This window comes from Homo sapiens, chromosome 14 (genome assembly GCF_000001405.40).
Source record: "Homo sapiens chromosome 14, GRCh38.p14 Primary Assembly".
NCBI classification, from domain to species: domain Eukaryota; kingdom Metazoa; phylum Chordata; class Mammalia; order Primates; family Hominidae; genus Homo; species Homo sapiens.
Window position 1 is genome coordinate 82,049,562 of NC_000014.9, and position 17,606 is coordinate 82,067,167.

The 17,606-nt window shown below is 41.6% G+C and overlaps 1 long non-coding RNA gene across 1 annotated transcript in view, besides 1 other annotated feature; it reads left to right on the plus strand.

Moving 5' to 3' along the window:
- LOC107984704 (uncharacterized) overlaps positions 1-17,606 on the plus strand; it is a 336,950-nt gene that overhangs the window by 312,365 nt on the left and 6,979 nt on the right. The window lies entirely within an intron of this gene.
- Positions 10,598-11,159: an enhancer, noted in NCBI's record as "OCT4-NANOG hESC enhancer chr14:82526503-82527064 (GRCh37/hg19 assembly coordinates)". NCBI's record gives its function as "activates a minimal SCP1, AML or CMV promoter by ChIP-STARR-seq in naive H9 embryonic stem cells {active_cell/tissue: H9 hESC(naive)}" and the evidence as "EXISTENCE:reporter gene assay evidence [ECO:0000049][PMID:30033119]".

Here is a 17,606-nt window from a genome sequence, read left to right on the forward strand (position 1 = left end):
CCTATTTTTTTTCAGTAGACCAAACAGTAAACCATACTAAAGAAAGGTAAAGGATCAAGATTATATGGCTGATAAGTGAGTAGCTATATCAGTCAGGATATTGGCAGGAAATAATTCTTCCCAGATGGTTCAAATGCACTGAGGTTAATGATGACCTATATATAGAGAGAGATGTGGGTGGGGTAAAGGGAGTGAAAAAGGAAGGACAAGGTTCCTTCTGGCAGCCTCAGAGACCAAGGGAGGAAATTAGCACCCAATGAGAACTAGAACTAGAGAGGAATGGGAAGACTGGTGGGGACGCTAGTAGTGAAGGCTTGCAGGTGTTGCTCATTGCTACTGCCTGCAATGTGGTATGGAAGAAGGGAAAAGAAACCCAGCCCCTCTCATTTCTTGCTGCCTTATGTACTGCAATTATTTTCCATTGGATAAACCCAACCAAATGCCAACATTCAAGGGAGCTAATGGGGCCAGTGTCCCAGGGCAGAGAGTAGATTATAGGAGTGTAGAGAATGGAATGGAGGGGTTGGGAGCAGTAACTGGAAATTAACCAGTAATTGTAGCCACAATCAGATTTGATCCCATGTCACTGTGTCTTACAGGCCCATGTTTTTTCTTATTTATCACACTGGCTCTCAGTTTAGACACAATTTTGGTAGCAACCATGAGTTTTATTACAGTTAGAGACTTGTTGCACTAGGCACTCTCAATTTCTTTTCCAGCAGTCAGGAAGTCATCACAAAGCTCCTGAGTTTAAATGCAGAGTGGAAGATGGGAACGAACCACTATTACTTAACTTAGTTCTTAGATCATGAACTCAGACATTGCCAACAATCTTCCAAATTCAGTGTACCCTTGTCCCCAGGTTAGTGGACTCTTTTAGGACTTTACATGAATTAAGCTGAGTTATTAATTAAATGCCATAAGGCTAACTGATGGATGGTTACTCTTTCATGTGACATTTTGGAGTCTAGAAAAGATAGGGATTAAGATAATTGTTCTCCAGCTAGCTAGATGCAATGCAGCTAAGGAGAAGGGCTATGGTGCAGGGTCTGGCTTCAATTATTTTCAGCCCAGCAGGTCTTTTAGAAATGTCTTTTAGAAGTGCCAGCGGTATCCAATTGTTTCGGCAACATTAGACACAAACTTTTTCGTATGAGATGTGTTGAAAATACAGAACAAATGAAATATTTTTTGTAAGTGTCCATTAAATTAATTAGTCTCATTGATCCTTAGTTTCTTTTATGCAAATGTGGATAATAATAATATATACCTCATATGATGGTTGTGAAATTTAATGAGGTAACAAATATAGAGCACTTATAATAAAACTCAATAAATGTTAACTATCATCATCATCAGTATTGTTTTTGTTTGGGCTCATTCTGATGAGGCTGTCAATAACAGTTTTTTTTCCCTTTGTCTTCTGCTTAAAGGGCTGGGCAAGGAATTCAGCCATGCCTGACCAAACTTACTCAGCAGTGGGTTCAAAAGATGCTGCATTAATGTCCTAGGGCTGCCATAATAATCACAAATGGAGTGATTTCAAATAACAGAGATGTACTCTTTCAGAGTTCTGGAAACTGAAAGTCCAAAATCAAGGTGTCAGTAGGCATCATGCCTTCTGGAGGCTCTTAAGGCGAGTTTGTTTCACGCCTGTCTCCTATTTTGTGGTTGCTGGCCATCCCTTATGTTCCTTGGTTTGTAGACACCTCACTCCAATATCTGCCTCCATCTTCACATTGCCTTCTCCTCTGTGTTTTCTTCCTTTTGCATCTCATATGAACACATGTCATTGGAGTGAGGAAGCCAGCTGGTTAATCCAAAATGATATCATCCAGAGATCCTTTACTCAAGTAGATCTGCAAAGGCCCTTTTCCAGATAAGATCACATACGCAGGTTCTGGTGAACATATCTTTTGGGGGCCACCATTCAAACCACTACAGGTGAGCACCTAATCCAAGCAGGGCCTCTCCACAGTCATCAAACTCATAGGGAGACCCTGTGTAATAATCAAGACAGCATAGAGGGAAGTAGGGCCTAATATTGAGCCAATGGGGAAAGAGAAGGAAAGGGAGAGAGAGGAAAAGAGAAAGAGAGAAATGATGAGAAAGAGAGAAATGGAAAGTATCAAGGAAACGCCTGGATCTAATTGAGACCTAAGTCATTTCTACCTCTGGACTTCTCAGTTCCATGAGCCAATTAAGTGGTTGTTTGTTTGTTTGTTGTGTGTGTGTGTGTGTGTGTGTGTGTGTGTGTGTGTGTGTGTGTATTTTGCCTAAGCTTGTTTAAGGTGGGTTTTCATTACTCATACCTGAAAGAATAATCAATATTACAGCTGCTAATACTTACAGGTGTTAATTCCCTTCCTGTATCTGTCCTTGGTAGGAAGGGGGAGAAGGAGCTGTTGAAAGGGCTTCCTGGTGAGTGATCACTTCAGCTTAAGTTGAAATTGGAGTAGATAGACTCTATCCCTCCTTACACAGCATTGTAGTTGACTGCCTACATGTCTGTCTCCCTTCCGGGATGCTCAAATCCTTATGAGATATCATACAGAGTGCTTTTTATTTTCTAAGTACTGCATAAAATCTTTGCATGTATTATATTTTTAATAACCTGACAGTAAACCCATGAGATTAAATTATCCTCATTTATAGCCAACAAATGGTGAAGCTTGAAAAGTTTGTTTTGTCAAATTTCTTACAATTAGCTTATGTCAGGCAGCAACTATATTTCTTCACTGTTGTGTTGCAAGGATTATCCCAGGGCTTGACACATAGTAGATCAAGGGTTTTCAAGGTGTGTTCCTTGAAGAAGCAGCATCAGCATCACCTGGGGTCTCGCTAGGAATGTAGATTATCGGGCTCCATTCCATACATACTGTGATCAGTAACTTTTGGGATGGGACCCAGATCTGGGATTCTGCTGCACTAAAATTTGAGAACCACTAAGTAGATATTCATTATGAATAGAAAAATCATGAAAATGTTGAACAAAAAGCTGAAAGCCTTTATGAAAGGAAAAGGTTTAGCCTAAAGTCTGTAGTTTCCCAAGAAATAATATGATTTCCAACATCAGAGTGACAGAAAATGTCTGCTGCTTCCCTAAAATTACGACTCTCCTTTATGTGATCTCAGCTGACTGCTGTTATACCCTTGCATACCCGTGGGTGTGGTTAGTGCACAGCAGCTTAGAACTCACCTGCTATACACTTGACACAACCACAGGTACCAAGAGAGCAATGACTTTCTTGCCATCCAGAGAATGGAGGGCTTCTCTTCTCACTCATAGTCCTGAGCTTCATTCCCCCCTTTTTTTTTAAAGCACAAACTTGCCAACTTGCCAGGAAAAAAATCATCTTTTTACACCATTTAGGCCATTGCTTACCTAATGGGACATATAATGTGATAAAATTGCCACCTGCTGGTTGAGATATGAGACAGTTCCCAAGGGTATAATTACATATGCTGGTTTTTTTTAAATATTTTAACTGTACCTACTCCAAAGACATGTCTGTAGAGTAAGTTAAGTTGTGACAAGCTGTAGATTAGAACTGAGATTTTTGACACTTTTAAAATGGCAGAACAACAATCTACTAGTTTTGTGGCAGAAGAAAAGCCCATCCACTTGATTTTAGAGAAAAATGTGTCATAGATGTAGGTGTATATAACGTGTAGAATAAAACTGGACTAAAAAACAAAAAGAAAGGAGCAGCAAATAGTACTTCAAAGCTTAAAACTTTGGCACATACATTCATTTTGAAAACAATGTTTCATTTTATAAATGTCATATTATATGTAGAAATAAGGTAAGATGAATGGAAAGTTAAATATCTCTTTACAACAAAATTTTAAAATATGTATTTCTAGGAAATTTCAAAATGATTTAGGCTTTTAGATGCAGTCCTTCCCTGTGGAGTATTGAAGTGTTATACTAGTCAGGATAAAATAGGCTTTGCTCCAAAAAACAAATTAGACTTAAAATATCAATGACCTTACAACAAGAAAACCACCAACAATGGTTAATTTCTGTCTCATCCTGTATGTCCCACACAGTTGGTAGAAAACTCTTCTCCATATAACCACCCTAAACCCCATGCTAATGGGAAGCCCTAATAACTTGTGGTTTCATCATCTCAACACTAGCCTCCAGTGTTACCAGAGCAAAGGATCACAACATACATTGGCTCCTCTAGGCTCTGTCCTGGAAGTGATCCACATCACGCTCCACTCATTGGCCAGAACTTATCAGTGGCCCCACTTAAGTGTGAGAGACTTGGAAATATAGGTATAGTACCTGGATTTAGGGGGTGTAACAAATGTCTTTACTCAATGTACATACTTGGTTGAATTAACTTAATCTTCTTTTAGGTTACCCCATAGCTCAATACACTATACATTCTGATAGCCTGTTGGAATTTCAGGTAAAATATTCAATTCTCATGGTAAGATATAAACATTCTCTCTGCCTCCTTGCATAACCAGAACATGTGAATCTGCTTTCCACAGCTGATATCCAGCTTCTACCAAAACACTAAGAGATAAAAATGTTGCCTTATGGGATTTTACAGGACTATTTTTTTTCAACTATTTTTCCAAGACTAAGTAAATTCTCGGAATTAGATTATGTCACCAAAAAGTACGATTCCTGGACCTTTTTAACTTAACCTTCTCTAGACATATCTTTAGTGAGTTAAGTTTTAATGTAACACCCTCAATGTTTATCAAACGTGAATACCAGAACACCGACATAGCATATATATAAGTTCTTGGGTCTTTTTGCATAAAGACCCATGGATACCCACAATGAAATGCAGTGGGACTTTGGAACTAGTTAGTTCTGGGTTTGAACCCTGAGTCTGGCAATTTTTGTCTTAGTCACCTGTTTAAGTCACTTTCTTCTCATCCTTCTTAGTATCCCAATATAGACAATTAAACTGCGGACTAGTCTAGCCTTGTGATTAAGAGTTTAAATCCTGGAGTCAGGCTTAGGTTTGAGTCCCATTTCCATCGATTACTAGGCCTTGGACAAATCACTTAATTCTTTGTGCTTTTATTTATTTATTTATTTATTTATTTATTGAGACGGAATCTTGCTCTTGTTGGCCAGGCTGGAGTGCAATGGTACGACCTCGGCTCACTGCAACCTCCACCTCCCAGGTTCAAGTGATTCTCCTGCCTCAGCCTCCTGAGTAGCTGGGATTACAGGCACCTGTCACCACCCGGCTAATTTTTTGTATTTTTAGTAGAGATGGGGTTTCACTATGTTGGCCAGGCTGGTCTCGAACTCCTGACCTCAGGTGATCCACCCACCTCAGTCTCCCAAAGTGCTGGGATTACAGGCATCCGCCACCATGCCTGGCTATGTGGTTTGATTTACTCACCTGTAAAATGAGGATAATAGTAGTGGCTATAGCAAAAGTTATTTTGAAGAGTATATTGGTTAATATGTGTAGAAAGCTCTTAGAACAGTGCCTGGCATGGAATAAGTACTATATTAATTAGTGCTGGCTATCATTTTGATGAAATAAGATAATGTTGGTGGAGAATCGTCTACAAAGTAAGTGCCTTATTATATAGAATCAGTAAAATTTGAGTCATTCATAGTGATATCAGATCCTTTTTTATTATCAAATAAAAACGTGAACCTTTTTGCTCTTTTTTTCCCATTGGCTACTAGGAACTCAGAGCTAGATTTAATGCTCAATTGTAATAGCTGCGCAACCTTACGCTGTTGGATTTATGCATGTATATAAAATGCTACAACCATCTTCTGTACTATAAAATGCTACAATCCTCTTTTGAAAGTAGGCAGGCTATAGATAACTTTTTTTTTGGTAGTAGCAATATACTAAGAACAAAATATTTTAAAAACAAAAATATGTGACTTTTTTTCCTTTTTTTGTAAGGCAGGTCGTACTCGAGATATATTCATCTTACTGTGTTACCTGTGTTACAGAAACAACTTCTGTAGGAGTCAGACATTCTTCTAGAAGGAAGGAACTAACTGAAATAATACTTCAAAAACACTCACTATTTAAGTAACTGAAGATCTTTAAAGTTTTACACACTATTTTCATGTTTTAATGACTTCATTCTCCTCTCACTAAAGCTACTTCCTTCCTCACATGTCCTGTGTTAGTCACTGATTGGCAAGTAGTTTGCTCACTCTAAGCTCTGCTCTCTATAATAAACATGTGTGATTAAATACCCCAATTATGAAATACAGAAAGCAGAAGAAGAACTGAGAAAGTTTATTTCAGACCACTCTTGATTTCCTTTATCTGGTTTGTTTCTTTTGCTTGCTGGAGAGGCAGAGTTCCAGAAAGATGTAAGGCTGTTGGAAAGAGCTCAGCAAAATGAAAGAAAATATGGTCTGTGGCAGGTTGAAAGTATTGCGTTCTTAGGAACTGTCAGAGGCCAAGTGTGTAATGAACTTGAGTAAATGACAAGCTGATGGGGAAGAATAATTGCCCAGAGGTTTGTGGTGAATATAAACACCTAGGAGGAAGAGAAAATGGAGAAGAGGATTTCAGGCAGCATGGCTGGGAGCAATTGAAAGAAAGGAAGCTCTCTTTCTGCCAAACTCCACGTACTTATTGTTTATACTGTTCTTTATGGAATTAGTCATTTTTATTACCCAGGACATTTCTTATATGGTTTTGTTTTATCATCCAACCTTTTACTGTGTATGTCTTATTTCCACAACGTAACTGTAAGTTACTAGATGGCAGGGAACACAGCTATCCTTCTTTGTCTCCCTGTCAATGAACAAATCACATGGTTCTAACACTAGCTGGGCTGTTCACTAGTAGCAAAAACTAGAACAAATTACATGAACAAGTTACATTTTCATTTCTCCTGCAAAATGGGTTAATGATATCCACACTGTAATGATTCAGAGAAATTTAATCATATACAAGATGCTTGGATAATAACATTTACAAGATGTAAATGCCAGTTATTATCTTTTCCCTCTCACAGTGGCGAATCCATGTCTTTCACAGAGCAAGTATAATATATTACACTGTTATAGTGCAGATCAGTTCAATATATAGTATATAAATATAAATATATAGCTAACATATATTCTACATATGTAAATATATAGTATATTAATGTAAAAATATATTGCTGTATTAGTTTTTCAGAGAGAGAACACCAATAGAAGATAGATAGATAGATAGATAGATAGACAGATAGATGATAGATATGTAGCTATATTAGAGGGGATTTATTAGGGGAATTGGCTCACACAATTATGGAGGCTGAGAAGTCCCACAATAGGCCATTTGCAAGCTGGAGAACCAGAGAAGATGGCAGCATGGCTTAGTCCAAGTTGGAAAGCCCAAGAACCGAGTAAGCCAATGGTGTAACTTAGTCTAAGGCTGAAAGCCTGAGAGCTCTGGGAGGCTGCTGATGCAAGTTCCAGAGTCCAAAGACTGAAGAACTTGGAGTTTCAATGTCCAAGTACTGGAGAAGAACAGTGACTTATTCCAGAAGGGGTGGGTGGGGTGGTGGGGGTGGGGGGAGGGGCCAGGTGGAAGAGAGAGAGAGAGAATTCATCCTTTTTTCACCTTTTGGTTCCATCCTGGCCCACAGTTCATTGGATGATAGCTGCCCACATTGAGTACAATCTTCCCCGCTCAGTCCACTGACTCACATGCAGATCTCCTGTGGAGCACACCCTCACAGATATACCCGGAAACACTTCACCACTCATGGAGGCATCTCTCTCTCCAGTAAAGCTGACACCTAAAATTAAGCATAACGAGACCACCCCTTCTCAACTTAGCACCCATACGGCATCTCCTTAAATTATACTTAATCTGCAAATAAAGACAACAACAAGGTTACAGTTTTACTTAACATGATACAGCTATCTTATATACAATAAAAAATGCAATAATTCCATCCCCAGAAGAGGAGGTAAAGTTCTTGGGTGACGTTTACTGTTCTCCTGATATCCCATAATTTAAATACTATTATGTAAATTTAGCAATACCTAAATACTGGTACAAAGTTGATAAATCTTATATTGTATGATAAACGAGTGAGAGGGAAAAAGGTATTTTCTTAATATATGAATATATAAACACATAAATACATCCTTAGCAATACAGGGGGAAAATATTTATGATAATGACAATTCTCATTTCTGTAACTGACCACATTTTGGTAGCTACTTGTTTCTTATGTTTCTTAAGAACCATAAGAAAATCATGGTTCTTATTCTGGCAGTTTGATCCAAACTTTCATTCTTGGAGGGTCTGGCTCATTTGTAATCCTGCCTAAATTAGGTTATTGTAGTTTCCCATTGATATTAATTATAGGACATGGTAAGACTAAGAGGCACTTTAAGAGATCTCCTGTATTCCAGACATGCTCTTCTTTACCTTCATTGTGGAGTAGTAGTCCAATTTCCACTTTGTAGTCTGAATCAATTATTCCACCCAATAGTGTATCTCCCTTCTTAGCCTGTTGACTCAGAGTCATGAGGAATACAAAATGGCTGGGTGATAACCTTAACTTCCAGTTCAATTGAATCATTGTGTCTCCTGCTTAAAGCATTCCTCCCTCTGGAACTCAGACCTTCAGGCCAGCAGAATATAAAGTCACAGAAATAGGAAGGAAAATATTTGTTAATGGGTCACTATGGGTAATGGTAAGTGGTATCGCTCCCATTTCCATCCTTTGATTCCTGGATCTGTGAATCTTGTCTGTGGAAGAAACTACTATATGTTGGATGCTGACTTAGAGAGTATAAAGCCTTCTGAAAAACCTTTCCCCAATCTGCAAAATATTGTCACCTACCTGGTCCTGTAACTGTATCTTCAAAAGGCTATTCTATCATTCTCTCAGAGCAGCTGCTTCAGGATGGTCAGAAACATGGTAAGGCCAGTGAATTGCATGAGCATAAGCCATACTTCTTTGGCTGTGGAGCAAGTTTCTTTGTCAGAATCAATGCTGTGTGGAATAAAATGACAGTGGGTGAGGCATTTTGTAAGTCCGTAGATGGTAGTTTTGGCAGGATCCTTGCATGCAGTGAAGGCAAATCCATATCTACAGCAAGTGAGTCCAGTAAGGACAAATGCTTCCCATTCCATGACTGAAACAGCTCAATGTAATCAACTTGCCACCAGGTAGCTAGGTGGTTACCCTGAGGAATGGTGACATATTGGGGCTCAGCATTGGTCTCTGCTGCTGGCAGTTGGGGCATTCAGTGATAGCTGTAGCCAGGTTGGCCCTGGTGAGTAGAAATTTATGTTGCTGAGCTTATGCATCAACTCCATTATTTTCACCGTGGCCACCTTGTTCATGAGCACACTGGCAAATCAGAGTGGTGGCTGGGAAAAGGTGCTGACTGGTATCTACAAAATAGGTCATCCTACCAACTCGATAATTAAAGCCCTTCTCTGCTGAGGTCACCCTTTGGTAAGCATACACATGAGACACAAATATCTTCATATCCTTTGCCCATTCAGAGGTGTCTATCCACATACCTTTTCCTCAAATTTGTTTTGTCATTAAATATTCAATCATGTCCCTTTCAAGACTCTGACCATCCAACCAAACAGTTGGCTACAGCCCGTGAATTAGCATATAATTACACATCTAGCCATTTCTCCTTCAAAGCAAAGTATACAGCTGGGTTCACTGCCTAAAGTTCTGCCTATTGAGAAGATTTCTCTTTACCACAGTCCACAAAGAATGTCCCAGAAAGAGGCCATAGTGCTGCAAATGTCCACTTCTGGGTAGTAGCTGCATATGCAGAGCAGAATATCTGTAAACCAGGTCCTAGTGTTCTGTCGTTGGATCATAGGGTACACCCCATGAGCCCATAGGTGCGGGCTGGGAGAGAGAAGGCAAGAGAGCAAGTATAGGAACTATGGGAATTTGGGCCACTTCTTTATGTAATTACTTGTCACTTCAAGACCTTCTCAGACCCAATCACATTTACACCACTTCCATTTGGTGATGGAGTACTGCTATGCACATCCAACTTTATGGGTTGGTGGGTTAGAGCAAACTCAGTTTATGATTGGCAGATCAGGTTGCATGGTAACTTTGTCAAACATTTCATAGTAGGCCAAGAGTGGTCTCTCAAAAAGATAGTAATTATCTGCAAATGATGGCAGGGCCTTTCTCCAAACTCCTAAAGGCCTGTGCTGCAATTCACCCATAGGTACCAGAGTTGTGCTAATTTGCTCAAGAAATAAAGCCAAACCTGGTATAACAACTGCAATTGGAGTCACCATTTGGTTAAGCTTATGATAATCCACTGTCATTCCCCAAGATTCATGTTTCAGCCAACCAACCAACCAACCAAACTGTTAGCACCTTTTCTAACTCTTTCAGCTGCAACATAAATGCAGAATCTCTGATTAGTGGGTCATATCAATAAATTCAGCCTAATCCAACTTTATGTTTCTTCTACTACTATCCCACGCTCATAATATCTATTTCCACATGTGTTCTCTAGATTTCTGCTTGAATAAATTAAAAACAAACAGAAACCTCAAGTAGTTTAGTGAAGTGTAGCACACCTCCTCAGGGGTTGCACTTTGTACCTCGCTTTTGGGGGCTGCTGGTACATGAGTCTGGTTATAAGTCTAGAAGCAAAGAGGAGGGGTGGTGGAGGTAGGTCCTGAAGAGAAACAGCACTGTCTTGCTTGGCAACCCAGGAGAGGCCATAGCTATTTTCTAAGGCAATGAAGAGTTAATTACTTCAGAACAGGGGAGGGAAGACCAATACCACTAGGGGTGGGGTGGGGAAGTCACTTTATCCAGCAAGAAAGACTCATCAGAATTTGAATGCTCAATGTCCCTAGTTTCCTCAGGATCTTCCCACACATTCCAATCTCAACTTACAGGATTCCATTCTTTCCCAATCAATGCTCTCACTTTAACAGTAGATACCCTGCAAGGCTGAGAATTCGACTTTCACCGTAATTCAGGCAGTCACATGATGAGTGATAGCTTTTGACTTTCAGCAGATTCAATCCTGTGGCTACAGGGAAGAAGTTTCTCGTTAAGGGCACACTTAGAAGCTTTTAGGTGATTTGTGTGCATCTGGAGCTGGAAATTTATATTCTTGAACTCATCTGTTTCTTTTATTACTTTGTCCAATAATATAGGAGCAACCAACCAATAAGATTATATTCCTCAGTTTTCCAAAAATGTTCAAAAGTTCCTTGCCTCTTATAAGTGGTTGATGAGGTGTATTCAATACAAATATTTTTGATAGCTTTTTAAACAGTTCACATTATGGACTATCAGTGCTCTCTGTATTATTGGAAGTAGACTCCTTAATATTTTTAAGTCCAATTTAATTGGAGAGCTTTCACTTGCGTCCATGTGAAGAGACCACTAAACAGGCTTTGTGTGAGCAACAAGGCTGTTTATTTCACCTGGGTGCAGGCAGGCTGAGTCCGAAAAGAGAATCAGCAAAGGGAGACAGGGGTGGGGCCGTTTTATAAGATTTGGGTAGGTAAAGGAAAATTACAGTCAAAGGGGGTTGTTCTCTGGCGGGCAGGAGTGGGGGTCACAAGGTGCTCAGTAGTGGAGCTTTTGAGCCAGGATGAGCCAGGAGAAGGAATTTCACAAGATAATATCATCAGTTAAAGCAGGAACAGGCCATTTTCATTTCTTTTGTGGTGGAATGTCATCAGTTAAGGCAGGAACCGGCCATCTGGATGTGTACGTGCAGGTCACAGGGGATATGATGGCTTAGCTTGGGCTCAGAGGCCTGACATTCCTGTCTTCTTATATTAATAAGAAAAATAAAATGAAATAGTGGTAAAGGGTTGGGACGGCAAAAATTTTGGGGGATGGTATGGAGAGATAATGGGTGATGTTTCTCAGGGCTGCTTCGAGCGGGATTGGGGCGGCGTGGGAACCTTGAATGGGAGAGGTTAAGCTGAAGGAAGATTTTGTGGTAAGGGGTGATATTGTGGGACTGTTAGAAGAAACATTTGTCATTTAGAATTATTGGTGATGGCCTGGATACGGTTTTATGTGAATTGAAAAACTAAACCGAATAAGAGAAGGAGAAAAACAGGTATTAAAGGTCTAAGAATTGGGAGGACCCAGGACATCTAATTAGAGAGTGCCTAAGGAGATTCAGCATAGTCCTGCCAGCAAAGATTATGTATTTACTTCAAGAGTTGAGAGTGGCAGTTTGGGGATAGCACCAGGAGATATCAGCTGTGATGGCTTGGAGAAACAGTCTAAACCGGCAGTGTAAACAAGAGCAGGGCACGTATGAGTAGTTGAGAACGGTGAATAGGAGTATGACTAGACAGAAGATAGAAGGGGTGACAAGTTTTTTGGGGCATAGTCCAAGTTGGTCTGGTGTCTGGAATGAGACTGGGGCTTAATAAAAAGGAGCGTCCATACAGAAGCTCAAATGGGCTGTATCCTGTAGCATTCTGAGGACAGGCGTGAATTCTAGAAGGGAAAGTGGTAAAAGTATTGTCCAGTCCTTTTTAAGTTGGTGGCTGAGCTTGGTGAGGTGTGTTTTTAAAAGACCATTAGTCTGTTCTACCTTTCCTGAAGACTGAGGACCGTAAAGGATATAAAGGTTTCACTGAATACCAAGAGCCTGAAAAAATGCTTGGCTGATTTGACTAATAAAGGTCAGTCTGCTCTCGGACTGTATAGAGCTGGGAAGGCCAAACCGAGGAATTATGTCTGACAGAAGGGAAGAAATGACAGCAGTGGCCTTCTCAGACCCTGTAGGAAAGGCCTCTACCCATCCAGTGAAAGTGTCTACCCAGACTAAGAGGTATTTTAGTTTTCTGACTCGGGGCATGTGAGTAAAGTCAATTTGCCAGTCCTAGGCAGGGGCAAATCTCTGAGCTTGATGTGTAGGGAAGGGAGGGGGCCTGAATAATCCCTGAGGAGTAGTAGAATAGCAGATGGAACACTGATAAGTTATTTCTTTGAGGATAGATTTCCACGATGGAAAGGAAATGAGAGGTTCTAAGAGGCGGGCTAGTGGCTGGTACTATAGCATAGCCTGCCTTTGCTGGTGTGTGGCCATTAGGCTTTGTGGAACTGCCATCAATAAACCAAGTGTGATCAGGGTGCAGAACAGGAAAGAAGGAGATATGGGGAAATGGGGTGAATGTCAGGTGGGTCAGAGAGATACAGTCATAGGGGTCAGGTGTGGTATCAGGAATAATGTGGGAGGCTGGATTGAAGTCCGGGCCAGGAACAATGGTAATTGTGGGAGACTTAACAAAGAGTGAGTACAGCTGAAGGAGCTGGGGAGCAGAAAGTATATGTGTCAGGTGTGAGGAAGAAAATAGATTTTGGAAGTTATGAGAACTGTAGAGAGTGAGTTGAGCATAGTTTGTGATTTTAAGGGCCTCTGAAGTATTAGGGTGGCAGCAGCTGCTGCACGGAGACATGATGGCCAGCCTAAAACAGTAAGGTCAAATTGTTTGGACAAAAAGGCTACAGGATGCGATCCCAGTCCTTGTGTAAGAATTCTGACTGCACAGCCCTGCACTTCGGCTGTGGGTAATGAAAAGGGTTAGGATGAGTCAGGGAGAGCTAGGGTGGGGGCAGTCTCTAAAGCTGTCTTCAAGGAATGGAAAGAGGAGTGGGGAAAGGATTTAGGATCTATGGGGTCAGCTAGGTTTCTTTCTGTGAGTTTATATAATGGTTTCGTTAGGATGCCAAAACCAGGTATCTAAAGTCGAAAGTATCTAACCATGCCTAGGAAGGAAAGGAGTTGTTTTGTAGAAGGTTCTGGGGTTTGAGAGATCAGCTGGACATGATTGGCAGGGAGAGCACGTGTGTTTTTATGAGGATTACGCCGACATAGGTAACAGATGAGGAAGAAATTTGGGCTTGACTGAAGTAATGGGGGCTGTCCGTGAAGCTTTGTGGCAGTACAGCCCAGCTAATTTGCTGAGCCTGATGGGTGTCAGGGTCAGTCCAAGTGAAAGCGAAGAGAGGCTGGGATGAAGGGTGCAAAGGAATAGTAAAGAAAGCATGTGTGAGATCCAGAACAGAATAATGGGTTGTGGAGGGAGGTATTGAGGATAGGAGAGTATATGGGTTTGGCACCACGGGGTGGATAGGTAAAACAATTTGGTTGATAAGGCGCAGATCCTGAACTAACCCGTAAGGCTTGTCTGGTTCTAGGACAGGTAAAATGGGGGAATTGTAAGGAGAGTTTATAGGCTTTAAAAGGCCATGCTGTAGCAGGCAAGTGATAACAGGCTTTAATCCTTTTAAAGCGTGCTGTGGGATGGGATATTGGCATTGAGCGGGGTAAGGGTGATTAGGTTTTAATGAGATGGTAAGGGGTGCATGATTGGTTGCCAAGGAGGGAGTAGAGGTATCTTATACTTGTGGGTTAAGGTAGGGGGATACAAGAGGAGGACACAAAGGAGGCTTTGGATTGGGAAGAAGGGTGGCATGAGATGTAGCTGTAGTCTAGGAATAGTCAGGGAAGCAGATAATTTAGTTAAAATATCTCGGCCTAATAAGGGAACTGGGCAGGTGGGGATAACTAAAAAGGAGTGCTTAAAAAAGTATTGTCTAAGTTGGCACCAGAGTTGGAGAGTTTCAAGAGGTTTAGAAGCCTGGCCGTCAACACCCACAACAGTTATGGAGGCAAGGGAAACAGGCCCTTGAAAAGAAGGTAATGTGGAGTGGGTAGCCTCCGTATTGATTAAGAAGGGGATGGACTTACCCTCCACTGTGATAGCTACGCAGAGCGTCTGTGATGGTCCTGTAGGCTTCCGAGGCGATCAGGCAGTGTCAGTCTTCAGCTGCTAAGCCAAGAAGATCTGGGAAGGAGTCAGTCAGAGAGCCTTGGGTCAGAGTTCCAGGGGCTCTGGGAGTGGTTGCCAGGTGAGTTGAACAGTCCGATTTTCAGTGGGGTCCTGTACAGATGGGATGCGGCTTAGGAGGAATCCCAGGCTGCGGGCATTCCTTGGCCTGGTGGCCAGATTTCTGGCACTTGTAGCAAGCTCCTGGGGGAGGCAGGCCTGGAGGAACGCCTGGCCACTGTGGTTTAGGCGTTTGGAAGTTCTTGTGTGCTGGAGATGTGGCTGGGGTTTGTCTCACAGTGGAGGTAAGGAATTGCAACTCAGAAATATGTTGCTACTTGGCTGCCTCTACTCTATTATTGTACACCTTGAAGGCAAGGTTGATTAAGTCCTGTTGTGGGGTTTGAAGGCCGGAATTTAATTTTTGGAGTTTTATTTAATGTCAGGAGTGGATTGGGTAATAAAATGTATATTGAGAATAAGACGGCCTTTTGACCTTTTAGGGTCTAGGCTATAAAGCATCTCAGGGTTGCTGCCAAATGAGCCATGAACTGGGCTGGGTTTTTATATTTGATGAAAAAGAGCCTAAACGCTATCTGATTTGGGATAAAGAAAAAGGAGCATTAACTTTGACTATGCCTTTAGCTCCAGCCACCTTTTTAAGAGTAAATTGCTGGGCAGGTGGGGGAGGGCTAGTCACAGAACGAAACTGTAAGCTGGACCAGGTGTGAGGAAGGGACGTGATAAAAGGATTATGGGGTGGAGGAGCGGAGGCTGAGGAAGAATTGGGACCTAGCTCAGCCTGGCAAGGAGGGGAGAGGTCAGATGGGTCTGTAGAAAAGGAAGATTAGAAAGACTCAGCCACGCTTGGGTTGGGACTGAGGGGACAGACGGGAGGGAAAGAAGGAAGATTTGGGACGAGTTGCATTGGGAACAGAGACTAGGGAGGGACTGATGTGTAAAAGAATGCCTGGACGTCAGGCACCTCAGACTGTTTGCCCATTTTACGACAAGAACTATTTAGATGTTGTAGGATGGAAACATTGAAAGTGCCATTTTCTGGCTATTTGGAACCACTGTTGAGTTTGTATTGGGGTCAAGCGGCATTGCAGAAGAAAATAAGGCATTTAGGTTTCAGGTCAGGTGTGAGTTAAAGAGGTTTTAGATTTTTAAGAACACAGGGTAAGGGAGAAGAAGGGGGAATGGAGGGTGGAAGGTTGCCCACAGTGAAGGAGGCAAGTTTAAAGAGAAGAATAGAGACACAGAGGGAAGGGGTTCAGGGGTTCTTACCCTCCAGAAAAGTGGGAAAGGGGTCAGGGTGTGGAAATAAGGGGTTGGGACACAGAGATAAGAGGTGGGGGAGCAGAAATAAGGGATCGGGGTGCAGAGATAAGAGGTCAGGGCATGGAAATAAGGGATCGGGGCACAGAGATATTCTTGTATGGCCTGCATAACTGTGAGCCAAATAAACCTCTTTTTAAATAAATTATTCAGTCTCACTTATTCCTTTATAGCAACACAAAAAGGGACTAAACACTAGGGGAATTGGCTCACTTGACTATGGAGGCTGAGAAGTCCTAAGATAAGCCATCTGCAAGCTGGAGAATCATAGAAGTCAGTAGTGTGGCTCAGTCCAAGGTGGAAGGCCCGGGAGCCCTGGGAAGCCACTGATGCAGGTCCCAGTGTCCAAAGGCAAAAGCACTTAGAGTTGTGAAGTCCAAGAGCAGGTAAAGAAGGGCGTCCCGCTCCAAAAAAGAGAAATAATTCACCATTTCTTTCCTTTTTCTTTCCTTTCTTTCCTTTTTTTTCTCCTTCCTTCCTTCCTCTCTTTCTCTCTCTTTCTCTCTTTCTCTTTTTCTTTCTCTTTCTTTCTCTCTCTCTCTTTCTTTCTTTCCTTCTTTCCTTCTCTTTCTTTCTTTCCTTCTTTCCTTCTTTCTTTCTTTCACTCTGTTGTCCATGCTGGAGTGCAGTGGCTATACTCATGGATCACTGCAGCCTTGAACTCCTGGGCACAAGCAATCCTTCTACCTCGGCCTCTCAAGTAGTTAGGACTACAGTCATGTGCCACCACGCCTCGCTAGTTTTATTTTTTGTAGACACAGAGTCTTGCTATGTTTCCCAGGCTGGTCTCAAACTCCCCAGCTCAAGTGATCCTCCCACCTCAGCCTCCTAAAGTGCTGGGACTACAGGCGTGAGCCACTCTTTCACCTTTTTGTTGCACCCAAACTTCCAGCCGTTTGGATGGTGGCCACCAACATTGAGGGTGGATTTTCCCCATTCAGTTCACCAATTGACAGGCCAATCTTCCTAGAAAACACCCTCAAGAACACACCTAGAAACGGTTTCACCAGCCATATAGGCATCCCTTTATGCAGGCAAAAATTCCTCTAGGTATCCCTCTATGCAGACACCTAAATTCGACCATCACAGTAGCCTGTTCACATATTACAAGCTTTTTACAACTTGCCACAACTTTTGAAATTTTGTTTTGACATTTCTGTATGTAATATAACATACTATATACTATATATTGATGTATGTATTTAATATAAACCTGAAGCCTCAAAAACTGGAATTAGCCTGAACATTTCTTGCCTTGGGAAGACCCTAAGTAAATTCACCAGACCTATTCTCCAATTTCATGTTTCAAAATTTGGCTGTATGTTAATTGCTGTGAAGCAAATTTTGACTGTGACATAAAGGTCCTCAGTGTGGGGAATGCACCTGAATTGTCCAGAGTTGGACTGAGTGAAGTTGAACAGACCACTGGGAGCTAGCTTTCTTTAATGGGGAGGGCTACAAGGAGTCTGGATAATGTGA